Source organism: Homo sapiens, chromosome 12, assembly GCF_000001405.40.
Source record: "Homo sapiens chromosome 12, GRCh38.p14 Primary Assembly".
Taxonomy (NCBI): domain Eukaryota; kingdom Metazoa; phylum Chordata; class Mammalia; order Primates; family Hominidae; genus Homo; species Homo sapiens.
This window is the reverse complement of record NC_000012.12, coordinates 21,808,905-21,836,016: the sequence shown is the minus strand read 5'-3', so window position 1 is coordinate 21,836,016 and position 27,112 is coordinate 21,808,905. Positions and strand designations below refer to the sequence as shown.

General features: G+C 37.1%; 1 protein-coding gene and 1 long non-coding RNA gene across 9 annotated transcripts in view; one reads left to right on the top strand and one right to left on the bottom strand.

The window, feature by feature from the left end:
- The window catches only part of ABCC9 (ATP binding cassette subfamily C member 9), a 144,038-nt gene that overhangs the window by 105,410 nt on the left and 11,516 nt on the right, over positions 1–27,112 (top strand). For all 8 annotated transcript variants that reach the window (XM_005253288.5, NM_001377274.1, XM_005253290.5 and 5 more), the window contains 7 exons: positions 6,957–7,059; positions 17,766–17,867; positions 18,710–18,830; positions 20,124–20,254; positions 21,295–21,373; positions 23,860–23,968; positions 26,062–26,165. In XM_005253288.5, coding sequence (XP_005253345.1) covers positions 6,957–7,059; positions 17,766–17,867; positions 18,710–18,830; positions 20,124–20,254; positions 21,295–21,373; positions 23,860–23,968; positions 26,062–26,165 — 749 coding nt within the window. The remainder of the gene's footprint in view (positions 1–6,956; positions 7,060–17,765; positions 17,868–18,709; positions 18,831–20,123; positions 20,255–21,294; positions 21,374–23,859; positions 23,969–26,061; positions 26,166–27,112) is intronic.
- KCNJ8-AS1 (KCNJ8 antisense RNA 1) overlaps positions 6,756–27,112 on the bottom strand; it is a 166,949-nt gene continuing 146,592 nt past the window's right edge. The window contains exons 3-5 of the long non-coding RNA XR_007063241.1: positions 8,593–8,807; positions 6,914–7,110; positions 6,756–6,794 (exon numbers count right to left, since the gene is read on the bottom strand). This is a non-coding gene — a long non-coding RNA (KCNJ8 antisense RNA 1). The remainder of the gene's footprint in view (positions 6,795–6,913; positions 7,111–8,592; positions 8,808–27,112) is intronic.

The following is a 27,112-nucleotide window of genomic DNA, read 5'->3' as shown; positions in this document are numbered from 1 at the left end:
AGTAAGGTTGAGGGAGAAGTTGAAGGTGATTCCTTCTAAGTTTCTGATTCCATGAGTAGGTAGTTTTCCAAGTTAGGAAATTGAAGATGATGTGGAGGATTGGAGAAGGAGTTCATGAGTCTGGTTATGAACATGTACAGGTAGTAATGAGATATCCAGCTGGACTGTTTTTGATCATTTTGGTATACAGGTCTGATGTCTAAGAGATATCTAAGGGCAGAAGATACAGGTTTGAGTATCATTCTTTTATGGATACTAGTTAAAGTTTTGGCCATGGATTTGATTGCTGAGGGAGATGGTGTAGACTAAGAAAAGAGGAGCTTGCAGAAAAATTTCAGACTACCAGCACTTAACGAAAAAGTAGATAAGAGAGATCCTGTGGAAAATATGATCTGCCAATTGCTGCCTCATTAAACAGAGCTGGTCCTCTTAGGTTAAGAGGAAGATAGGTTATATGACTTGTGCCTCCCAATATCCTTTGATATTTGGCTAACCAGTGCCTATCTCATTGCTGAAATATCAGTCCATGATTATCATCTACTGTGGTAAGCCTTCTCTGAATGTGAGAATGTAGAGTCCATGTCCTTCTTAGATCTCTATGTTAAGTTGCATCCTAAACTTAGCACACTGCATCATAATCAACTGTTTGTGTGTTTGCATTCCTCTACAAGATTGGGAGCTACTTAAGAGCTGTAATGTGTCCTTCATCTTAATCTTTAGAATATTGACAGAGTCAGTTACATACTAGGTGTCCAGATGTTTTGTGAATAAATTAAAGGACACTTCGTTGCTCAACCTACTACTTTCTGTTAATATCTCCATGGCTCTTTACTTCAACATCTATCTGCTTCCAGCCCTCCTAATTTGGACAGACTGTTTGAATTCTGTTCCCAGTCAGCTTGCTCAGTAAAGGGGAAGGGTTGATGTTGCCCCTTGTCATGGTCTCAGTCTTTCAACTAAAAATCCTATTGAGCTCCTCCTGCTCCTGGCCAACCCCAACATAGGCCAGCCTGATGCCGTCAAATCCAAACCAATGCCTTGTTTATGGGAGGAGGATCTACGTCTTGGCAACCTTGATGTTGTGACTGCTAGTTTAGCAAGTTGGTCCCTGTAAAGATCAACTATCCTATGAGTGAGAAGTTAATGGTGGGAAAGATCAGTTCACTGGGCTCCCTCCTCATGTGCGCACTGTGTGTGTGTGTGTGTGTGTGTGTGTGTGTGTGTGTGTGTATAATGTTATATATGCTATATGTATAAGTCATATATATATATCATTTTCAGCCCCTCTTTTATTCTTCTGGATATATATATATGAAAGGAACAGATGGATGGAAAAAGACACATTCGATTCCTGACCACAAGTACCAAATGGATATACATATACATATATATATCCAGATAGGAGAGGCCAGCACCCAAGCACTTCGCCTCCCTAGAGGCCATTAAAGGCCCTTAAGTGGTCAGCTGAAATTTTTGATAGCCCTTTATCCAAATGGCACCTTCTGGTAAGTAAACCTTTACCTGTAGCAGCTCTACCCAGGTCAAGGACAGGTCTGGAAAGCCTAAGGGACTGCTCTACCTGTGTTTGATGCATATTACCCTAGGCAACACCACTGTAATGCACCTTAATTCAGTCTTGTCCATTTCCTTCCAAGACCTCAATGACATATAAGTGCCAAATGTTAATACTTAATAGGGCAGAACCCATCTTCCTACTAAGGGAGAGGAATTCAGACCAGTTGGGAAAATAAGCCATCTAAGTAATAGGCAAAAAATCAGGATAGTGGCATCATTGGAGTTAATCAAGTGAGCATTTTAAAAAGAAATTGAATGGTCAATAGTAATAACAACATAAAAGAAGAATAAAAAGGAATTAAAAGTGTCCATTGGATATGGCAACCATGAAGCTATTGATAACCTTAGCAAGAACAGTAATGATAAAGTGGAGAGAATCGAAGGCAAAATTCAGAGGGTTAAAAAATTAATTGGAAATCAGAACATGGACATGGCAAGGAAAAACTACTTTTTGAAAGAGTTTTACTGAGGTGGGAAGGAGTTTAGGAGAGCTAACTAAAAGGAGGAGCTTTTTTACTATTGCGTTTTCATTTTTAAGAGGATAATGAACTAGACATTTTCAAAGACTGAAGGGAAGAAGTGGAGATATAGGCGGGATGGGACAGTTAACGGAGAAGATTATTACAGCAGATTAGCAGGAGTATGTTAAGTGCCCAAGTGTGAAGACCACTTCAGCTTGAAGAGTATTTGGTACATAGCTCCTCTATGAAGGTATGAAAAGGATCTGAATAGATTCAGGAAAACTGGCAGGTGAAACAACAGGAAGTTGATGAGTTCAACATATAACAGCCTCTGTTTTCTCCTTGAAGGACAGGGGAAGTCATCTTCTGAGAGGGATGGGGACAAGAACAAGGCAGAGCATCGTGAAGGGAATGAGGAAGATTTAGAATGAAAGAGGAAATTGACCAAGAGTCAAGATTCAGATTTTTCATTTACCTTCTTCCCTAGACACATGAGCATAATTTAGCATTACTATCCTTAATTTTACATTAGGAAAACTTCTAGGTAGCTTTAAGTAGAACAAAATATTATGTTAAATTTCAATGCTTGAATTAGAGTTGGAAGAAACAAAAGACAACTCAACTTCTATCTGGAAGTACCTGCAGGATCCAATCCAGGTTTAGATCCTCCAGAGTTCATTTTTTAATGTTTTATTTTAGTTTATTTATTTCAATAGGTTTTTTGGGAACAGGCAATTTTTTGTTACATGGATAAGTTATTTAGTGATAATTTCTGAGATTTTGGTACACCTGTCACCCAAGCAGTGTACATTGTACCTAATGTGTAGTCTTTTATTCCTCACCCCTCTTCCATCCTTCACCCCAAGTCCCCAGAGTCTATCATATCATTCTTATGCCTTTGCATCCTCATAGCTTAGCTCCCACTTATAAATGAGAACATATGATATTTGGTTTTCTATTCTTGAGTTACTTCTCTTAGAGTAATGGTCTCCAATTCCATCCAGGTTGCTGAGAATGCCATTATTTCGTTCCTTGTTATGGCTGAGTAGTATTCCATGATGTATATATACCACATTTTCTTTACCCACTCACTGGTTAATGGGCATTTAGGCTGGTTCCATATTTTTGCAGTTGCAACTTGTGCTGCTATAAACATGTGTGTGCAACTGTCTTTTTCATATAATGACTTCTTTTCCTCTGGGTAGATACCTACTAGTGGGTTTGCTGGATCAAATAGCAGTTCTACTTTTAGTTTTTTAGGGAATCTCCATACTGTCTTCCATAGTGATTGCACTGGTTTACATTGCCACTAGCAGTGTAAATGTGTTCCCTTTTCACCACGTCAATATCTATTTTTTTTTTTTATTTTTAAACTATGGCCATTCTTGCAGGGGTAAGGTGGTGTCTCATTGTGGTTTTACTTTGCATTTCTCTGATGATTAGGGACGTAAAGCATTTTTATTAACTATCATAAATATCAGCATTTTTAAACCCAAAAGAAGTCTTGAAAATGGGATGGCCCTGCTGCCATGGATAAAATTCTAGAATCCTTACATTTGGTACTTGTGGTCAGGAATTGATTGTGTCTTTTTCCATCCATCTGTTCCTTTCTTTCAAGCTAACTGGAGTCCCCAGAGTCTTGAACTCTTTGGAAAGTTAATATTTACTGATGAGGCTGCTTTTCCTCCCCCGCATTGAGGGTTCGTGGTGTACTCACATGAAGCAATGAACTCCCTCAAGTAGTTTACCACGAAAGCATCACAGTTAAATTAGACTGAGATTTTAGTGACCTTTCCTATTTTTTTCTTGTCTGACAGAATAAAGGTCTAAGAATGTTCAGAAGATGAGCTGGATATGGATGAAAAGATACAGGCTGAGTGTGTCAAAGTTTCCATTAGGAAAACAGAAGGTTTCTTGCCAAATAGAAACACGCAGAAAGAATGTTCACTGCATTTTCACCCCTCCCCTCTCACTGCTGCCTCAGACTATTGCCAACTCCATTTACAAACTCTTTAAGAGTGGATCTGAAACAATATCCCAAAACTAGAGGAAGAGTCAAAAGTGTTCCAGATAAAGCACTTTGTCAGAATCAAGTGTTTGAGGTTCATCTCAAATGTAGTCCACTGGCTTTGGTCCACCTGGCCTCATCTCCAATCTCTCCATCACACAGTCCTCTAGGGAGAAGAACCTGTCTCAAGCCCCAGAACATGTGGCGCTTTCTCATTTCTGTGCCTTTTCTCATATTGTTCCTGCTGCGTAGAATGCCTTGTTCACCAAAAACATTCTGCTTATCCTTTAAAAACCTCACTCAGATTATCTTCCTTGTCCTTTGTGACACCTTGCTTAACCCTTCCTCTCTCTCCACCCTTCACTCCATTTCCTACCGTGCTGATCCTCTGCTTGGTGCAAATCATGCCCTTCCTTTATGTTCGTGTAGCATTTTGTGCATAAGATCCTTATAGCTAGACAGTGTGTTGCACCATTTTTACTTGTTAATGCTGTGTTTCCTCCCTTCACTAGACAGTTGACCCTTCAAGGGAGTAGGTCATGTCTTGTTCCTATATCCTCAGTGTCTAGCATAATGTCTTGCTTAGAGTGGATGATTGCTAAATGCTCCCGAATGAATGGATGAAAATCTACCAAACATGTACCTAGCAAGTACAAAAAAGAATGAGCCAAGGTGGATGGATCACCTGAGGTCAGGAGTTCAAGACCATCCTGGCCAACATGGTGAAACCCCATCTCTACTAAAAATACAAAAATTAGTTGGGCATGGTGGCACATACCTGTAGTCCCAGCTACTGGGGAGGCTGAAGCAGGAGAATCGCTTGACCCTGGGAGGCAGAGGTTGTAGTGAGCTGAGATCGCACCACTGCACTCCATCCTGGGCAACAGAGTGAGACTGTCTCAAAAAAAAAAAAAAAATGAGCCTTGCGTGTGTGTATATAGAGAGATGATAGATTGATGATAGATAGATAGATAGATAGATAGATAGATAGATAGATAATCTTTATGGTTCATGTTCATTGTTTCAGTAAATCCTATAACCCTTTGAACATCCCCCCTACCCTTCAGTTGTTCTCTATATTCATCCCTAAAAAGGTCAGCTGGAGGGTAAGCTTGGACTGCTTAGTCCCACAGCATGAGTGCTGCCATTCAGGCCAGGTCCTCCTGTGCATGGCAGCATGGCATTTGGGTCATGGATACTCAACTCAATGTGAGGTAACTATTTAGCTATGATTGCTGAGTTCTCTGATTATTGTAGATTAGAGCTTACTGTCCGACTGAATTATCTATCTTTTTTGACATATTGGAATGATCAGATTGATTGGATAGATATCAAGCGTCTGCTTTATATTGGCCTGTATGGATTACTTCAGTGGGCCAAATGAACACCCCTCCCAGGATATCTTCATTCTTTGACATATGATGATTTATTATACATTTTTACAATTTTACTTAAAAATTGGGGAGGTGAGTGGGGGAAGTGTTTTATCCAGAAGGAATCACTGCCATTTTGTCAGATGAAGTTTGCTTATTTCTTGCAAACATAACCCATAGATGGGAGGTCTCTATAAGACAAGCCGTGGCTGCAGAGAGTGAATAAATCACATTTTGATTTGGTATTTTCCCTACCTTCAAACCAGTTATTTTTATTATATTATCCAGCCTTCCAATGTTTCTGTTATTCAGGAAAAATAATTGAGAAATAAAAAGAGACTATTGTTGTGATTTAGAGAAGATTTTTTCTACCATGTAACATGAATTTCTTTGAGATATTGGCTCAGATGTTTAAATGGATAGGGCTTTTACTAACAGTTTTATTTATAAAATAGGTTACACAGAATTTGGTGTGATTTTATTGAGCACCAAGAATTAACTTAATTTGCTGAAGATCAATATCCAAACGATATATATCATAGAACCCTGAAAGTACACAGACCAAATTCCTTTTATGCAATGACCATCCTTACAAATATTTCAGAATTTGGGGGTGTAGAGCATTTGCCGTCATCTCTAGTGTCCCCATCCTCTACTTGTTGCCACCCCAGTTTTTTTCCTTTGGTTCCCAGAAATATTAGGCAAAAAGATAATTTTAAAAGTATATTTTTGCCAATTGCAAATGCATAGTTTTCTGTCTTCCCTGGTTCTGTGCCAGCACTTCCCACCCAACTCTAACTGTGTTGTTTGGAAAAGTAAAATAAATGCCACAAAATATCGGTACAGTTGCATTTCTACACAATTTATCCTGGATTTTGTAAGGCCCTTTTAATGTAGTAGGCTATGCTTTATTCTCATGGCTACAATAATTATGTGGAAATTTATGAACTGATCTTTAATACAATGTTGTTATTAGAAGGACTCTTTTTCCTAGTAAGGGTATAAGAAAGGAAATAAACACCTGACCACACCATCTCTACTAAGAATGCAAAGAGCAGTAGTAGCTGGTCTTTATTTTGAAGTAGAAGTCTATTTACTGGGCCGGGTGCGGTGGCACACGCCTGTAATCCCAGCACTTTGGGAGGCCAAGGTGGGCGGATCACAAGGTCAGGAGATCGAGACCATCCTGGCTAACACGGTGAAACCTCGTCTCTACTAAAAATACAAAAAATTAGCCGGGCATGGTGGCGGGTGCCTGTAGTCCCAGCTACTCAGGAGGCTGAGGCAGAAGAATGGTGTGAGCCCGGGAGGCGGAGCTTGCAGTGAGCCGAGATCGCGCCACTGCACTCCAGCCTGGGCAACAGAGCGAGACTCCATCTGAAAAAAAAAAAAAAAAAAAAAAAAAAAAGAAATCTATTTACTGATCATTCCATGCCATCAGTTTGTCACTGTGTTGAGTAAATAGTGTAGTAATAAGTGTGACTGTTTCTTATTACCTCTCCTGTTGTGTGGTTAACATCGTGTTTTTGTTTTCTGCAGGCATGAAACCAGATTTAAACAACGTATGCTGGAACTGACGGATACAAACAACATTGCCTACTTATTTCTCTCAGCTGCCAACAGATGGCTGGAGGTCAGGACGGTACGTTCATTTCATGATTTCGAAATGGAAACCAAATAGAGAAGACGCCTGCTGCAAAGAGGCAGACAGTTGTAAAAATTAGTATTCCACTGAGATTCGGCACTAGCTTCACATTTTCTGGACTTTAAAATAGCTCAGGTTTGTTTATGTTACAGATGAAGTTTGTCATAATGTTTTAGCTAATGACAAGACAAATAGCCCAAAAAGCAAAAATTCATTTTGTGTTCATTAGTTTCTAGATCACATAAGTTAATGGAATGGCAAATATTTGTATAACTTCAAATTTTTTTTTCCAAAAGAGCACATTTGGCAAGTGAACAGATGTACTCATTTCCTTCACTGAGTTGGTCCTGCCTGGAAGGATGGCAACTTTCTACGTTTTAAGCCAGTGGAGGGTCATGTTAGTGCAAAATGTAGAAAACTACAGTTAATCATCTGTTGCCTTCTGTCTTGCATAATGTAGAAGAACAAGCACAAGCTTTGGCATCACACAGACTTGGTCTAGCAAGTTAATTTTAGTCCCAGTTCCTCATCTGTAAAATAAGAATGTGTACCTTGTACCTTGTATGGGCATTGGATTAAAAGTAACATAAATCCCCTACTACACTGATTGGCAAATGCATTCAAGAAATGTCTTTCGAATGCATGCATGAATGAATAATGAATTGTACCTGCCCTGGTAGGGGGTTCATAAGCCAATGAGCTGGAGTATCAAGTAGGAGAGATGAGAAAGACATTCCAGAAGGCAAGGAATATAGTTTGTAGTCTGTGCGATCCGGAACATGGATAAGCTACTTTGATGGTAATGTTGAGTTGAGTGTAATTTTTTAAATAGGTATTTGCCGGTTTTGAAAAGAAAAAGCATGTTTATCTCTACTATTGAGAGAATCTTATTTCCACTAATTGCGTTTCACTAACATATAGGCTTTCTTTCAAAACACAACAGAAAAGAGAAGGAAGATGGTAAAGGGAATTTAATAGGGTAGAAATGAAGGAGCCCAAATTAAAATCTGAGTAGTTGATTGATGGATACAGATTAAACAAGAATCTTGGACATCCTTGTGAGCTTTTATTATCATGATTTCTCACTGGTTTACAGAGATTCTCCTCAACTATATTAGTCATTATGTAGAAATTATTCAACAGCACAGCATAGTTATTTTTCACAAAGTTTTGACAGAAGTACTGGTTGCTGATAAATTCCCTCCAGGTAGCTGTGACAGTTGGAAGAAGGCAGGACAGAGTTTCTTGGGAATTACGTATAGATAAATAAAGGCAAGTGAAGTGTTACTTAGGATTTATCACAAAACCAAAACATTATTCCCAAACCCTATACAAACCATAATTCCATAATTCCTTGCTTTAATTCCTTGTTTTGATATGTGAGTGTGTGTGTGTGTGTGTGTGTGTGTGTGTGTGTGTGTGTGTGTTGTTCTATAAGGGAAAAAATCATATATGAATAATATAATTACTGATGAAATAGCTTACTGAAAGAATGTCCCGAAATCATAAGGGAGAAATGTTAGCAGTTACCTTTGTATCTGGTTTTCCTGAACTTGAAGATCAAGTATGTCTTTTAGGGGCAAGCATATTTGCCTTGGACTTGAGGTGAGAGTCTGACCGACTCCTGTTTCTGCTCTTTAGCACTTCCTGCTGTCAGATTAATGGATAAGTGTTGAACAAGAATCTTCAAGCAAACCATATGCTCTGTTCTCATAGCCAGAAGACAAGATATTAGAGCCTTAAGACTGCCAAGAAAGGGAAGGTCAGGAAAAATTAGAAAGGAACAGCAGCCAAACTCAAAATTGTTTAGTTTAGTTTGTCTCATAACCCAATACTTTAACCCCCACGTGAAAAAGCAGTTGAACCTGTCTAAATATAATAGACTCTGTATCTTGAATTCCACCTGCAAAAAACAAAATACTGACACCTGAAACAGGAAGGGCAGAACAGGCCATTCATTTGGTTACTTTGTAATGCATTTGTTACTATGTCTTCTCCTTGCTTTCTGTGTATTAGAATCCTTCCAAGATTTGCAATCTAGTCTTATTACTAGAACTCTCCCTTAAAAATTAATACAAAATATTAAGGAGTATTTTATTTTCATTTCCGATGGGCAAAGATATATTTTGGCAAGAAACGTTTGTTGATTTATTGCAAGGTTCCAGGCATATCTGCTGACAGAAGTCAAGGTTCAAGGTCCTTTGTGTATGCTTTGCCTCCATCCATTGTATTTATATGTCAGTAACTTTATATGGATAAACACGTGTACACACGCACACATGCACACCCCTCTAGACAATCTCAGAGATCCATTGTGAGACCAGTCAGATTCACTGTCGCTCTGCTCTTCTGAGTGAACTGAGAGTTTTCATTGGAACCAGGTGTATTTAAATATAAATACTATAATCCAAGAACATATGCCACAGTAGGAGTGTTAAATAAGGTAAATGACTTCTCCTGGGAAATAACCTTTTCTCTCAATTGTGCACATATAAATGACCTCATTACTACTGTGTTTCTGTGGGCATGTCCACATCACTGGAGACAGAATTTTAGTTTGGAATAACTGGATCTTGCGTGAGAAAAATGAAGTTGAGATATAGTACCTTGGAGACTAGGGTGTGAACTGTTCTCTACACCCCACAGCTGGATATATTCTGTATTCTGCCTTGTAAGTCTTTTTTTTTTTAAAGTAATGAAAATTTCTAATTGGCCCAGTACATCTGCATTGATCTTATCTATGGTATCAACACAACCCCCTCTTTGTTGTATTACTCAGTAAGTTCACATAAATATCTGCTTCTAGCAAATATTCTTAGAGTTCCCAGAGCAGGAATGCAACCAAAATGATATAAAGAAGGTCACTTCATTGGACATAAATTAGAAGAGGCAAGCAGGATTTCTTCACACAGATTTCACCAACTCTAATTCATGGACTCAGAGCCATAATGGAAATGGGAGAAAACATGATATCATTGCTTTCTGTGGCTATCTTTCCCCTCCCTTCCTCTTTATGCCTAGTTTTAACTTTCCAAAGCCATGTCACTGCTATTGACAGAAAATCTCAAGAAAGAAGAGAGAGAAACCAGAGTAGAAACGCCTTTTGTTGAATTTGGGACGTTCTCCGAACCTCATCCAATTTTTGTTTATCTTTTTTTTTAAATTATACTTTAAGTTCTGGGATACATACGCAGAACATGCATGTTTGTAACATAGGTATACGCATGCCATGGTGGTTTGCTGCACCCATCAACCCGTGATCCACATTGGGTATTTCTCCTAATGCTATCCCTCCCCTAGCCCCCCACCCCCGGACAGATCCCAATGTATAATGTTCCCCTCCCTGTGTCCATGTGTTCTCATTGTCTAACTCCCACTTATGAGTGAGAACATGCGATGTTTGGTTTTCTGTTCCTGTGTTAGTTTGCTGAGGATGATGGTTTCCAGCTTCATCCATGTCCCTACAAAGGACATAAACTCATCCTATTTTATGGTTGCATAGTATTCCATGGTGTATATGTGCCATGTTTTCTTTATCCAGTCTATCATTGATGGGCATTTGGGTTGGTTCCAAGTCTCTGCTATTGTGAGCAGTGCTGCAATAAACATATATGTGCATGTATCGTTATAGTAGAATGATTTATAATCCTTTGAGTATATACCCAGTAATGGGATTGCTGGGTCAAATGGTATTTCTGGTTCTAGATCCTTGAGGAATGGCCACACTGTCTTCCACAATGGTTGAACTAATTTACCCTCCCACTAACAGTGTAAAAGCGTTCCTATTTCTCCACATCGTCTCTAGCATCTGTTGTTTCCTGACTTTTTAATGATTGCCATTCTAACTGGCATAAGATGGTATCTCATTGTGGTTTTGATTTGCATTTCTGTAATGACCAGTGATGATGAGCTTTTTTTCATATGTTGAGATAGAGACATGAAAAACCCTTCAAAAAATCAGTGAATCCAGAAGCTGGTTTTTTGAAAAGATCAACAAAATAGATCAACAAAAAAGATCAACAAAAAAGATCAACAAAATAGTCTGACTGCTAGCCAGACTAATAAAGAAGAAAAGAGAAAAGAATCAAATACATGCAATAAAAAATGATAAAGGGGATATCACCACTAATCCCACATCAATACAAACTACCATCAGAAAATGCAATAAACACCTCTATGCAAATAAACTAGAAAATCTAGAAGAAATGAATAAATTTCTGGACACACACACCCTCCCAAGACTAAACTAGGAAGAAGTCGAATCCCTGAATAGACCAATAACAAGTTCTGAAATTGAGGCAATAATTAGTAGCCTACCAACCAAAAAAAGCCCAGGACCAGATGGATTCACAGCCAAATTCTACTGGAGGTACAAAGAGATGCTGGTATCATTCCTTCTGAAACTATTCCAAACAATTGAAAAAGAGGGACTCCTCCCTAACTCATTTTATGAGGCCAGCATCATCCTGATGCCAAAACCTAGTAGAGACACAACAGAAAAGGAAAATTTCAGACCAATATCCCTGATGAACATCATTGCAAAAATCCTCCATAAAATACTGGCAAACTGAATCCAGCAACACATCAAAAAGCTTATCCACCACGATCAAGTCGGCATCATCCCTGGGATGCAAAGCTGGTTCAACATACGCAAATCAATAAACGTAATCCATCACATCAACAGAACCAATGACAAAAACCACATGATTATCTTAATAGATGCAGAAAAGGCCTTCGATAAAATTCAACACCCCTTCATGCTAAAAACGCTCAAAAAACTAGATATCAATGGAACGTATCTCAAAATAATTGTTTATGTTTTTAAAAAAATACAGCGCTTTCTTTTCTTTTCCAAGTCATGTTAAATAAGAGTTAAGACAATCATGATTTTTCCTCTTTGTCTACACAGATAGTTTTCCCTATGGAAGATCTAGCCTTGCCCACCATATTCATATCATATTCATTTTGAATTGGGAAAAAAATAAAGGCCATAACACACTCAAATCATAAAAGGACAAGAGACTAAAAGAATAAAATAATTTGGCTGGTAGAAAGCGGCTAGACTGTGGCTGGCCACCGGACTTGCTTTGGCAGCAGAGCGGACTGTTTTTCCTCTGGGTGCCAAGTGAAGCCGGCCGCGGTTGAGTGCAATGTGTCACTACAGCCTAACCTCTGATTGCTGCTTGCGTCCTCTCGTTCAGCACAGTCTTTTCTCTTCATCCCTTTGGACTAAACAATTCCAGTTCTTTGGCATTGGTGTTTTCAGTTGCAAAAATGGTGTAACTTTATCTAAAGGCTGTCTTTCCAAGGCTTTGTCTTGCTGTGTGGTGGAAGGATAAAAGAAAATTCACATGAAGAAGCCAAAAATAAATACTTTAGAGTCAACAGGCTAAAGTGAAAATGGTCTTTAGGGTGAGCTTGCACAAGAGTCTATTTTGTGAGACAACACTGCTTTTTTGTGTGTTCACAATTCAACGACAGACAGGGATGCAGTGATCTCGTAATTTGAAGGCCCTAATATATTCTTGCAGATACCCAGTGGTACAATAATGTGCTCCTGAGTGCTATATGAAGGAGAGGGATCACATACTTTTGGGTTGCTATTAACTATTTACAAGGCTGCCTTATAGAGAATTACAGTTTTCATTATAATTCCAAATATAGATAGATGTCTTTGAATCACTAGAAATCTGAAAAGAGACCTCTCTTTCGACATGGGAATCTTCTGGTGGGGAGTATTGAATTCACAGAATTGATGGAAGCTGTAATTTACTATTCTACAGATAAAAGCCCTCTTTTGAATGTAGATAATTCATCTGTGTTGTAACTTCTGTTTCCTAAGTTGAGTCTCCCATTTCATTGTATCATTTGGATGGAAGGTGGTTTTCACTGAGTAGATTGCTTAGGATGTGTAAGGCTATAGCAGTAGAATAAATGCTATTAGTGATCCCCAAGTATTAGCTGTCTTCTGTGAAAGTTATGCAGACCATCTGCTTCTCCTTTCTTAGTTTATTGCCTCTAAGCCATTTGCTTCTCACGTATTTGCAAAGGAATGGAAAGATGTAACCGTAGGGTCACTTTGTGAATCATTAAACTTGTTAAGTTTAACAGTAAAAGAAGTGAACATCGGAGACCTAACAAAAGCTTTTTTTTTTTTTTTTTTTGAGACGGAGTCTCACTCTGTCGCCCAGGCTAGAGTGCAGTGGCATGATCTCAGCTTACTGCAACCTCTGCCTCCCGGGTTCAAGTGATTCTTCTGCCTCAGCCTCCCGAATAGCTGGGACTACAGGTGCCTGCCATCACACCCAGCTAATTTTTGTGTAGAGATGGGGTTTCACTGTGTTAGCCAGGATGGTCTCGATCTCCTGACCTCGTGATCTGACCGCCTTGACCTCCCAAAGTGCTGGGATTACAGGAATGAGCCACTGCACCTGGCCACAAAAGCTTTTATGTTAGCTATTAATTTCACATTTCTATACTACTGTAATATTTGAAGAGAAGTGATTGAAATTTAGTGATTTTGCTGAATATTTTTTGAAAAGTGTAGTACACAAAGGAGCTTCATCCCTTATGCAAATCAAGATAAAATTCTGATCAGTAGTCTCTAAAATATTTCCAGTACTTTAGAAAAAAAAAAAACAGTTTTTAGCAGTGGTAGTAATCCAGCAGTGAGCTGGAAAGTATCTAGTTAGTAAAATTAAAAGACAGCCTGAATGACTTTTTCTTTAAAAAGAAAGTTTAAAAATATTTTTATAATAAAATAACTTTGTTATACATACTAAACTACAGATATATTGGCTTTCAAGCTATAATATCTATTTGAATTTAGTTGATTGTAGATTTTGAAAATCAGTTCCTCTTCTGAAAATTTTTGCTATAAAATGTACCTCAAAAAGCTATGCCTTTCTTTTGCTGAAGACCGGGTCAAAAATAATATTTCTAAAACATTTTAATATATGAATTTGAGCATATTTGGATTGCTGGCCTAATAACTAATAATATCTAGTGATCATATTGAAAATTATACAAGTAGTTTTGAAAACATTAACCACGTGAAAGGGGCCCAGAAAATATATATTGACTACAACTTATTGATGAGTCTTCTCCTTTTTCTCCCATCATCTGTTTTCACTTCTTTTGCTGGCCCTTTTGCCAGAATAAGACTACCTACCTGTTACCAGAATTATCATTTTAATTCAATGGAAAATAGTTTAAATTATCTTCTAATCAAATCTACCATGTCATTCTTTACAGTGGGTGAATTCAGGAGCCCAATATAGAATACAAAGATTTCCATAGTAAACTAAACTCAATAGCGAGAAATTGACTGCATAATGTTTTACATTTCCTTTATTATATTTATATTCATATTACTCCTACTGTTTAATTTCCATTTATTTAGACCCAGTGATTTTTGATATTTCAGTCAGCTATGACCTTGTTCTATTTTGTCCAAATCTGTTCTTTATAAAAAACACAGCAACAGCATTTTGTGAGTTTTTTTCCCACAATTAAAATAGTAAAATATATACATATATATAATAATTTGGAACTGAATGATGAAATTCATGGCTTAGGTAAAAGTACTTTTCACTTTAGAAAAGGAAATAACTCATAACACTTAAACATAGCAAAGCTTTTTAAGAGACAGTCATATTACAGTTCTAAATGGACATGGGAGTTAAAAGATTATAAAACTCGGTGTTGGACTTCCCACTTTATCAAAAAATGTATGCTTGTAGTATCTTTACATGTTCAGCTCTTAAAATCTGGAAATGAGATTGGTAGAGACTTAAATGATTCATACAAATCCTAAAAGAAAAGTCGGGAGAAGTCCTAAGTTGGAAAATAGTCAGCTCATAGAAAAACTCAGTGAATGTTTTATGAAGGGGTGAATTTATCTAGTCATTTACTCCACAAACAAGTACTGAAGCTTTACAATCAATGTATTTAGCATTATTCCTATTGCTGGAGATAATAATGGTAAAAATTCAAAGACCCTGTCCTCATGGAACGTAGATTCTAATGAGAGTAGATAGACAATAACCATGTAAACAAATAAGCAAATAAGATAATTTCATACACTTCGGAGTGCTTTGAGGAAAATAAAACAGGACAATGGGAAAGAGAAGAGCCACAGGGCTGGAGTTAGGAACCAAGAAAGGAAGACTTTTCCAAGGAGGTGATGTTTGAGTTGAACCTCAAATGATGGGAAGGAGCCAGGTATCAGAGACCTACCGACAAGCATTTCAGGCAGTCACTGGCAGAAACAAAGTTGATGTATTCCCAAGAATAGGAAAAAGGCTAGTGTGGTTGGAGTACAGTGAAGGAGCAGGAAAGTAATCTCAGATGAGGTCAGAGTAGACAGGGTACAAAATCCAGACATATAGTCTGGATAAGGCTATATATATAGATGAGAGCCTATATATAAGGTTTTATATATATATATAGGCTATATATATAAGGCTTTGTCACCCATCTGAGTTTGAATGTATTGTAAGTATAATAGGAAGGCACTGTTAATTCTAAACAGGGGAGTGATATGACCTGACTTACATTTTTTAAAGAATGTATGAATGGATGGATGAAGTCAGCTGGCAGGAGGTAGAGAATAGAAGTTAATGAAAGAAGTACCTTGCCTCAAACTCTTAACATATACACCACTCACAGAAATTTCTCAGAAGCCAGATGACATATTTTTTTTAATGTCAAGCCAGACATACCTTGCTGGAAGGATTTTCTGGTACTAATTTACTTTCTGCAACTTATTACAGAAACTCTATGAGACTTTTAGAAAAAATAATATGGAAATCCAAATGTATAACATAAATTTGAAAGTATTAACTTTACACAAACTGGCTGAAAGGAAAAAATTCATATTGCTGTAAATATTTTAGAAGTATTTGGGAGCACTTTGGCATGTATAAACTGCAGAAGAACAGCCCAGACTGGTTATTCTCTGCATCCATGTAGTTAATTCAAATAAAGAGGAAAAGAGAAAGAACAGTCTAGTAGGGGTGTGGCAAGTTGTTAACAAAAGGATACATCAGAAGAGGCAATCAAAAAAGTATTTACTACCTCTGTGGAATTTATTGCCTCAAAGGATTAACTCTATGTGATTTTTTTTCCTTTAATCTTTGTAAAGATCATGAGCATCAATATGGAATTAAATTTTAGTGCCTGCTTTAACCTTTGATGTTTTATGATGCATACACATTTTTAAGTTTGCTTTAAACATCTGAAAATTATCCAAAGGGAAAAAAAAAGACATTCTGGTATGTGGAGATGGAGAAATCTAACTGGTATTTAACATTTTTATTCCTTTAAAAATCCTTGTGAATTAAACATCATTTCTATTTTTCAAGGAAGAAATTGAGTCTCAGAGGGTTTTAAGTTGCTTGTCTGAGCTCATTAACTAGTAACGGGCAAGGTCAGTGTCTGAACCCAGATTTTGTTTCCAAGGCTGGGATCATTGGTTGTTCTCCAACAGTTTGATCTTTCGAGCTGTTTTTAAAAGAGACAGGAATGTACACATGTGAGGTCATTTGAGAAACATCTTCATTCTTTGACTTCAGCATGTTCAACATTCCATTACTGTCATTAATGTGTTATCATCTAGTTGTGAGATTTTTTTTGAGGCACCAGAGACAAATCTATCTAGAGAAGGAGTTTATCAGTGGAATGAGACTTGAGATAATTCTAGAAAGTGAGCATATCTGAAATTCTACCTGCTTTGGGGATGTGTGACACATTAACATGAGAAGTTTTTAGAATTTCTTTTTTGAATGATGAGACAGAACAATACCTAAGAACGCTGGGAAATGAGATAAAAAGAAAGCGTTAGGAAATGGACAGATGTTCCCATCTTTTATTTGAATCTATGGCTGTTATTAAAGAATTGTTTTAATTTTGGAAAAGAGTTTATAATTGAATCATACACTATTTAAATACATTAAGACATGTCCATACTTGTATTGTCTGAGCAAGCATAGTGCTTATTCTTATTTACATGAAATCTGTAGGTTTAGTGTCCCAGACTCTGAGCCAGGTAGTTGACAAAAAGTTCAAATAGTAGGTTGGAGCCAAAGTAATTGTGGGTTTTGCTATTACTGTTGCATCAACCTAATACAAATCCCAACAAGTTAACCACAGACAAATTTCTGCAAGGGCCTCACTACACAACACAAAGGAGCTAATCATAATCCTGACATAAGCACACATGAAATCTGAGCTAGAAAACCGGGTCCAAAAATAACTGCTTGTCTGGCAACATAATGCAGTAGAAAGTCGGAAAAAAAAAAAAAAAAAAAGTAAACCCTACATCTGATCCTTGTTGTGCCACCAATTGTAGCTTAACTTCTGGCAAGATGTGTAACTTCTCTGAACCCATATCACACACACACACACACACACACACACACACACACATATATATATATCTATATAGTTATATATAGATATATATATAGATAGATATAGATATAGATATAGATATATATAGTGAGAGCATGGACTCACTCTCCATTCCAGCTCTAATATTGCAAGCTATTATTCTTCTACATCTTAGGTATTCTTCCTCTGAAACTTAACAGGACACACATGGAATGATGTGTATTCTCTTAGTGATCACCTCTGTAAATTGATTGAACTTGGTTTAAGAACTTGGGAGTAACCTTTTAACATTTTCTCTTGCTTTTTCAAAGGATTATCTGGGAGCTTGCATTGTCCTCACTGCATCTATAGCATCCATTAGTGGGTCTTCGAATTCTGGATTGGTAGGCTTGGGTCTTCTGTATGCACTTACGGTAGGTATGGATAAAAATATTACAGGAACAGATAACCAAACACCGCATGTTCTCACTCATAAATGGGAATTGAATGTTGAGAACACATGAGCACAGAGAGGGGAATTACACATACCAGGGCCTATTGGGGGGTGGGGGTGAGGGGAGGGAACTTAGAGGGTGGGTCAATAGGTGCAGCAAACCATCATGGCACACGTATACCTATGTAACAAACCTGCATGTTCTGCGTATGTATCCATTTTTTTTAGAAGAAATAAAGGGAAAAAAATCTCATTTTGTGCAGTGTTGGAGGGTCTACTACAGTTATTACCAACTCTTATTCATGGACGTTAGAGGAAAGGTTTAAATTCATAACAAGATTACATCTTGCAAATAATAGTAGATTGGGGCCCAAACCCAGCTTTATGGGACAGTTTGGATTCACTTCTAGCATTGTGAACCAATTTTTAAGAACTTCTCAGATCTTGTGGTCAGAGTACTCTCCAAGCTGTTTGGGATCCGTGTCCTGAGTTGTACACAACCCAGCTGGGGACTAGCCTACAATGAATGTGAATATACATGAGATAAGTGCAAACAGAAGAGTATACCACTATCCATCATGCAGGGAAATCAGGACAGTTCACAAAATAGTGACAGTTATGGACCCTTGAAGGAACCAGACACCTTCTTTGCTGATATATCGCATGACATTCTCCTTGGTCTCTAATATTCTGTAGCACTTATGAGTTGTATCACACATGTACACTAATGGTCCAAGTTATCTCGTTCCAAAATTTCCGGTGATTAACCACAACTTCTTACTTTAATTTATTTAAAACAATTTTTTTAATCACCTGACACAGATAACCAATTATTTGAATTGGGTTGTGAGGAACTTGGCTGACCTGGAGGTCCAGATGGGTGCAGTGAAGAAGGTGAACAGTTTCCTGACTATGGAGTCAGAGAACTATGAAGGCACAATGGGTATTGCTCTAAATATTGTTTGTCTCACTTAAATATTTATTTTAAACAAATATTAGTGTTTGTTGGGCACATTGTTGTTTCTGCTTTTGCTTTCCACTTCAGTATCCAGAAAACTCTCTCATATCTTGGCTTTGCTTGATTATGTACACCGGAAAAGATGTGACTATTTAGGCCTGAAAAGTCTTGGATAAAACCAGAGTCCAAACAGATATTTATTTAATGACATTTAAAGAGAAAATATTTGGGATTTATTACATTAATTGCTGACCTAAACTATAAACTACTATATTCCCTTTCTCAAGACGTTATTAACTTAGATGTCAAGAAATTTGGATCTTAAAATACGGACTGAGATTCCCAACTTTGCTAGGATAATACTGTCAGGAAATTCAATACTGAGGACAGAATAATCTTCATTAAATGCATATCTCCAAGCTTAAAAGGCATTCCTTTACCTAAATTTTTCAACAGTCATCTAGTTCTTCAAGGACAAAATCCAGAAAACTTAGCTAAGACCATGAGCCCCTTCATTAGCCAACCCTTGCCCATCTTTCATGTCTCATTTCTTGTCATCCACCTGCACCACTTTTACTCTGGCCACACTAACATGCTAGGCTTTCTTTTCCTCTTTATTCTCCTATGTACATATATTTAAAATAAATTTCCCCATCTCCCATCCTTTAAAATTCATCTCAGGCACTGTTTCCTCTTGGAGCCCTCCTGGACCTCCAAGGTTAGCACCATCCATGCTCCCAGAGCACCGTAGGTTTGCCTTCATCATGGGGCCTCCATGTAGTACTGTAGGTGCTGACCTACTGGACAATTCCCCAAGGACACAGAAAGCACCTTGAGCTGTGTCTTTCGTCTCCATATTCCCAGCACCTTGTACAGCACCTCTCACATTTAAAGCACCTAAGTGTTTAATGACCAACTGACTGAACAAATAAATCAATTCAGAAATGAACTATCTCTGTCCACTTTGAATAGAATTGAGTGACGGAATGCTAAGGAGAGATGATGATGGTTAAGGCTCCAAAAACAAACACGAAAAAAACTGTCTTAAAAGTGCGTAATCAAAAGGTGTTTATTTGAATGTGATTTAAACTAAAAAAAAAAAAAAAAAAAAAAAAAAAAAAAAAAAAAAAAAAAACTGCCACATAGTTTGGTTCAGTATTACTTTAAATTTAGAAAAATATATATATATGTATAAATGTATTTAAGTATGTATACATTTCTTTCTACATCAATCTCTATCTGCCTATTATCTGTCTATTTCCCCATCCCATCCTCCAGATCCTTCTCAAGTTCCAGAACATTGGCCACAAGAAGGGGAGATCAAGATACATGATCTGTGTGTCAGATATGAAAATAATCTGAAACCTGTTCTTAAGCACGTCAAGGCTTACATCAAACCTGGACAAAAGGTATGAAATCACTGCATTTGATATGTTGTATACATAAAACCTCTGAGGGAGTCTGCTTTTTTACTACCTAAGCTCTTCATACTTCCCAGCCAAGTAAGTATATTCCCTACCTGATGTAGGTCAAATTATCTGCATAAAAGAAAAAAGGGAGAGATAGGATCAGACTACAGTACATGTTCTCCAAGTCATATTGTAATTCACTAGTCTCCCATGGAGATCAGAAAAGTCAACAATAGGCATGTTTTTAAAAATTTCTGTCTTCTGACTCCTGGCCATAATAGCCATCCCCTTGGGAATCTTTGCATTCATAATAACTCTAGTCCCCAAATGACTTCTTTTAGTTATTGTAAAAAGAACAAGTGGGCAGAAGAAAATGGAATCATTCTACTTTTTGTTATAAAACTATCACTTCTTAGATAACATGGAATAATTATTTGTTAGTCCAACAATATACTAAATGCAAAAAAAAAAAAAAACCATGAAGAAAAAACAAGGCAATCACATGAAAATAAAAATAAATAGAATGAAATCATTGAAGATTTGGTGAGAACTGTTTTTATATTTTTATTTTTTATTTTTTGAGACAGGGTCTTGTTCTTTCACCAAGGGTGGAGTGCAGTGGTGTGATCACGGCTCACTGCAGCCTCGACCTCCTGGGCTCCAGCCATCCTCCCACTTGAGCCTTCTGAGTAGCTGGGACTACAGGCACACACCACCACATCCAGCTAATTTGTGTATTTTTTGTAGAGACAGGTTTTTGCAATATTGCCCAGGCTGGTCTCAAACTCCTGGCCTCAAGTGACCTACCCGCCTCAGCCTCCCAAAGTGTTGGGTTTACAGGTGTGAGCCATTGTGCCCAGCCTGTTTTTATCTTGAGAATAATTCATAATGTAGATCTAAGAAAAAATGATAACTATAATGTAATTATTTAAACATAATTACAGTTTTATCATAATATCTTAAGTTAAAAAACAAAACTTAAGCTAATCTTCTGTCCTTTTCTGAGTCCTCTTCTCTTTGAGTGACAGCTGTTTTCCTAGGTGGGCATATGTGGTCGCACTGGCAGTGGGAAATCATCGTTATCTCTGGCTTTCTTCAGAATGGTTGATATATTTGATGGTGAGTTGCTAACTAAATTTTTTAAGTGGCCACTTGGTGCTTTCCTTTAAAAAAACATCAATTTACCTAATCCTGCAGAAATCAAAAGCAAATATTTATAAGGACTTTGTGCTCTACACATGGTTCAAGGCAGATATCCCAAATAAACAGCTCAAAAGTAAATAAAAGACATAGAATTGGGGAAATAAAATGATGAGCCTTAAACTCATGTCTATACATTATTGCTAAAGCATTTTAATAAACTTGTAAAATGAAAACAAGGCCACCCACTTTGAATAGCAGTAGGTGGAGGTGGAATTTCAAGAGAAAGAAAGAGGGAGGACAACTGCCTTGCTTCCTTTAGACTAAATGTATGTCTCTTTCCAACAAAGGAAAAAAGTACAAGGAGGTAAGTAATCTGCATTTTAAATTTTGGTACATGACTCTTACCATCATCTGCTTAATAACATTGCTTAATGACATTGAACGTTTTGTGAGGAGGCAACCTTTGCTGCAAAGTGATAAAGCTCATGGTAACAACATACACAAAACATACACATTCATCCACCATAGTATTAATAATATGATACACAAGAGCGTAGAAATAACTTAATCTTTTTTTAAAAAAAGTCACATTTAGTCTATCAAGTGGCCTATAAATAGGCCAGCACATAAAGTATCTTGAATGAAAGAGGATCCAGCAATGAATTTGACCGAACTTATTGTACTTGACAGTACAAGGAGTGCTTACTATTATTATCTGTAATGATTACGATGACTATAGTACTTTGCATGTTTATTGTACTTGACAGTTTATATTATTGAATTTAATCTACACAACAGCTCTGTGAGATAAAGAGGTCAGTTTATGAACAACAACATGGAACTATAGTAAATATAGTTTTTTTGGGGTTCAGATTCAGGAACAAGGTAAACTTCTGTCACTAAGTTAGCAGCTTATTTTTTCCATGGCTAGTAATAATGCACAGATACTTTAAGGACTTTCAGTGGGATTAAAGTTATAAGGCAATTAAGTGATCAAAAATCAACTGACATTTTTCATTAAAACACTATGTTTATGACTGATCATGTTAGGTTAGCCTGATCCTTATGAGTTCAGACACATGATTTCAGGTCCCATGTGAACTATCAATGATTTATTCTCTTTTTAATAGCCATAGGCTATTAAGATTTTAATTCATAATTTATTATTTCTGATCTATTATTCCTGAAAGACATAGGTTAAGCTAATCACCCTTGCCTGCTCTAAATCTATCTGGTAAAAGGACTGCAGCTGCCATTCTGAGCCTGACATCTTATCTCACAGGGCAATATGGTCTCTGCACAAAAGTGATAGGATTAACTGCATATATCATGGTGGAGAAACAACATCAACACTGCACAAACCTCTATAAGTCCATATGCAGTATGGAGAAATTTATTAAAACTTGATAGTCATATCACAGAATTTACTTCTCTATTTGTAATGCATTGTATTATTAAATCAATACAGGAGTGAATGACAAAGATCCTGGTTTTTAAAGAGCTTGTATTCTAGTTGGGGAACAGACAATAAAAAAAGATAAGTAAAAGTGTGTAGAATATCAGATTCTGATAAATCCCATAGAGAGAAATAAAGTGAGGAGGATAAAGGGAATACTAGAAGGAAAAGTACTCAGTAAGGGATAAAAATACTTTTTGGTTGGTATGATCACATAAACAGAATAAAAACTCTGAATTCCCTTAGGAGAAATATATAAGAAAGAAAAATCACCACCAAATATGTATATTTTTTAGAGACACAAGATTTTTTTTTATTATACTTTAAGTTCTGGGGTACATGTGCAGAACATGCAGGTTTGTTACATAGGTATACATGTGCCATGGTGGTTTGCTGCACCCATCAACCCATCATCTACATTAGGTATTTCTCCTAATGCTATCCCTCCCCTAACCCCCTACCCCTCGAGAGGCCCCAGTGTGTGATGTTCCCCAACCTGTGTCCATGTGTTCTCATTGTTCAACTCCCACTTATGAGTGAGAACATGCAGTATTTGGTTTTCTGTTCCTGTGTTAGTTTGCTGAGAATGATGGTTTCCAGCTTCATCCATTTCCCTGCAAAGGACATTAGCTCATCCTTTTCGATGGCTGCATAGTATTCCATGGTGTATATGTGCCATATTTTCTTTATCCACTCTATCATTGATGGGCATTTGGGTTGGTTCCAAGTCTTTGCTATTGTGAACAGTGCTGCCATAAACATAAGTGTGCATGTGTCTTTAAAGTAGAATGATTTATAATCCTTTGGGTATATACCCAGTAATGGGATTGCTGAGTCAAACGGTGTTTCTAGTTCTAGATACTTGAGGAATCACCACATGCTTAAATGGAAAAGTGGGTCTCCTGAATTTCAACCCCTAACTAAGAAATAACTTTCAATTTGTAAACAAATATTATTTTACTTGTGATTTTACTATGTGTGTGTAACTTCTGTTTCTCCTTAACAGGAAAAATTGTCATTGATGGGATAGACATTTCCAAATTACCACTGCACACACTACGTTCTAGACTTTCAATCATTCTGCAGGATCCAATACTATTCAGTGGTTCCATTAGGTAGGTAACATATTTAGCAACACCTGTATGCCTTAGGATTTAGCCTTTGACTCATAGAAAGGTTTTACTCAGAGTCATTTTTCAGGTATGAGTGAACTGATATCAAGGCAATAAAATCAAATATACCATCCAACAATTTGGATTGGAAAAGCCTAGAGTTGTAAATTAACCTATAAAATTATGTTTCCAGGAGATCTTCATCCCTTTCAGTTTGATTCTATAAAAGCCACTTTTTCCACTATACTTGAGAACGGTGATGCTTGGCAGACATTTCTAAGGTGTTCCATCTTACAGATATCCAGTCTAACTTGTGTGTCTGGCCTGACCTCAGCAGATATTCTGACTTTGGTTAATCCCTTTATCTATCCCTCCACCCCTTACAACTTTACTTCAGCCAAAATTGCTATGAATAAAGCTGCTACAGTCTTCATACCTGGTTCAGGGTTTCCCACCAAAAAAAAAAGGGCGGGGGGGATATCAACCATCTGCTAGGTGCTTTAAATATATTATCTGATTAAATTCTCAAACCGTTACTCTAGGGTAGATATTTATTATCTCCATTTTATAGATGAGGGTTTTGAAACTCAAAGAAGCTGTAACTTAAACCAAGTTTGTACACCTAGTAAGTGGAAGAACTGCTATTCCAACTGAAGTTTGCCTGATTCCAAAGTCCATGTTGGCATCTGTATTAGTCTGTTTTCACACTGTTGTAAAGAATGATCTGAGACTAGGTAATTTATAAAAGAAAGAGGTTTAATTGACTCCCAGCTCTTCATGGCTGGGGAGGCCTCAGGAAACTTACAATCATGGCGGAAGGCAAAGGGGAAGCAAGGCACATCTTCTCATGGTGCCAGGAAAGAGGGAGAGTGAAGGGGGAACTGCCACACTTTAAAACCATCGAATCTCATAAAAACTCACTCTCTATCATGAGAACAGCATGGGGGAAACTGCCCCAGTGATCTAATCAGCTCCCACCAGGTCCCTCCCTGGACACGTGAGGATTACAATTCGAGATGAGATTTGGGTGGGAACACAGAGCAAAATGATATCAGCATCATCCCCCAGATCACATCTCTCATTTGACCATATTTTGTTCTATTTTGCTCCTAACCTCCATCTACTTAATTACAAAGAAGTGTTTGCCACCTCCTTTTACTAATTACTCTTTATTGTAAAGAAAAAATGTATGTAAGATTGCCTAGTATTTAGTTGTAAAACTACTTTAAAACTTCTGGATGTGTCAAGTAATTTAGCAATACCATAGTGAATTTATATCTCCAAATATATTTATTATGAATACTACTTGATATGGTTTGGCTATGTCCCCACCAAAACCTCATCTTGAATTGTAGTTGCCATAATCCTCAAGTGTCATGGGAGGGACCCAGTAGGAGGTAATTGAATCATGGGGGCGGTTACCCCCATGCTGTTCTCATAATAGTGAGTGAGTTCTCATGAGATCTGATGGTTTTATAAGGGGCTTTTCCCACTTTGCTTAATACTTCTCTCTCCTGCCACCATGTGAAGAAGGACATGTTTGCTTCCCCTTCTACCATGATTGTAAGTTTCCTGAGACCTCCCCAGCCCTGCAGAACTGCAAGTCAATTAAACCTCTTTCTTTATAAATTACCCAGTCTCGGGTATGTCCTTATAGCAGCATGAGAATGGACCAGTACACTACTATTGTTGGTGATGGCAGCACAGCTGATCTAAAATAGTGTAATATGCTCCCATAGAGATGTATGTATGTAGCATCAGTCCTGCAGGAATATTTTGCTAGATACTATTTGGGTTATACTAAGCATAGTTTGGAGCCAATGGAGCTAGGTAACAAACTTGATAATATGATATAATGTATACAAAGTTTTATAATGATATCAAGACAATTTTTTATACTATTAAGATCATGCATTCATTCATCAAGCATGAATTCAGTGCTTGCACTGCTCTGGGCACTGTTCTAGGTGCTGAATATACAGCAGTAACCAAAACAAATGGAACTTACATTGTAAGGAAAGAAAAGCAATAAGCAAATATACATAAAAGTTTCTATATTTTCACTTATTGACTAATTAACTAATTTTTCCCTACAGATTTAATTTAGATCCAGAGTGCAAATGCACAGATGACAGACTCTGGGAAGCCTTAGAAATTGCTCAGCTGAAGAATATGGTCAAATCTCTACCTGGAGGTCTAGGTATATTTCCTAAATAGCATATTTATTTTTTATATATGCCATTAATCCTACATATGTCTATCTACGTTTTATGCTATAATCACATAACTTTAGTGTTAAATCCCCTTATATTTAAAATAATATCCTAAAAGTCATTAGAATATTTCAAAATCTAATGTTTTTGCATGGGGTACAAGAGGGTGAACCCGATAACAAATTCTGTTCTATGTGACTACTCCAAAATATTCCAATTAATACATTTATCTCTGCCATCTTTTCACAATTGGTGGGTACAGGTCATTGTAATGGATGTTTCCCTGTAGTTACTCTTTCTCAGTTGACCTGTCTGATCACCTACCATCAGGAAATGAGTGGAAGGATTGCAGGAGCTGTTAGGTTTAAGTCTTTGGCACCACTTAGGGAAAGGCAATTTTGCCCCATTAGTAGCCATTTTCTCTGCTGCCAGGAGGGAAAATTCTTTTTATTTATATAACATAATTTTCTTTGTGTTTGAAGACATTGTTTTGTATTGCCTTGAGGCAGTATCAATTTTAAACACTTGTGTAAAGAACACAACATGTACTCAATCACTGATAAAAATTCAGTCCTAGGGGTTGTACAATGTCTGACAAATAAATGATGACAGCATGAATGTGATTATTGAAACCACAGAGAGTTCATACTATCTTTAACTCATTAAAAGGAACATGTATAATTTTTGACTTTGCTTCCTTAACATCTTAACTCATCTAAGAAAGCAATAGGAAAGATAATAGTTATTGATATTCTAAATTTAATATACAATATATAGTTGCCAAATTGTGGTGTTTGGCATCTAGTTTTTAAAAAGTCAACCTACAAAATAAAATTATGTTTATCTGTTAGTTTATTTGAAAAGCAGGGCCAACTCAGAAATACTACATTTTATTATTTTAATTAAGTTCCAAGGAGAGAGTATGCCACAAACA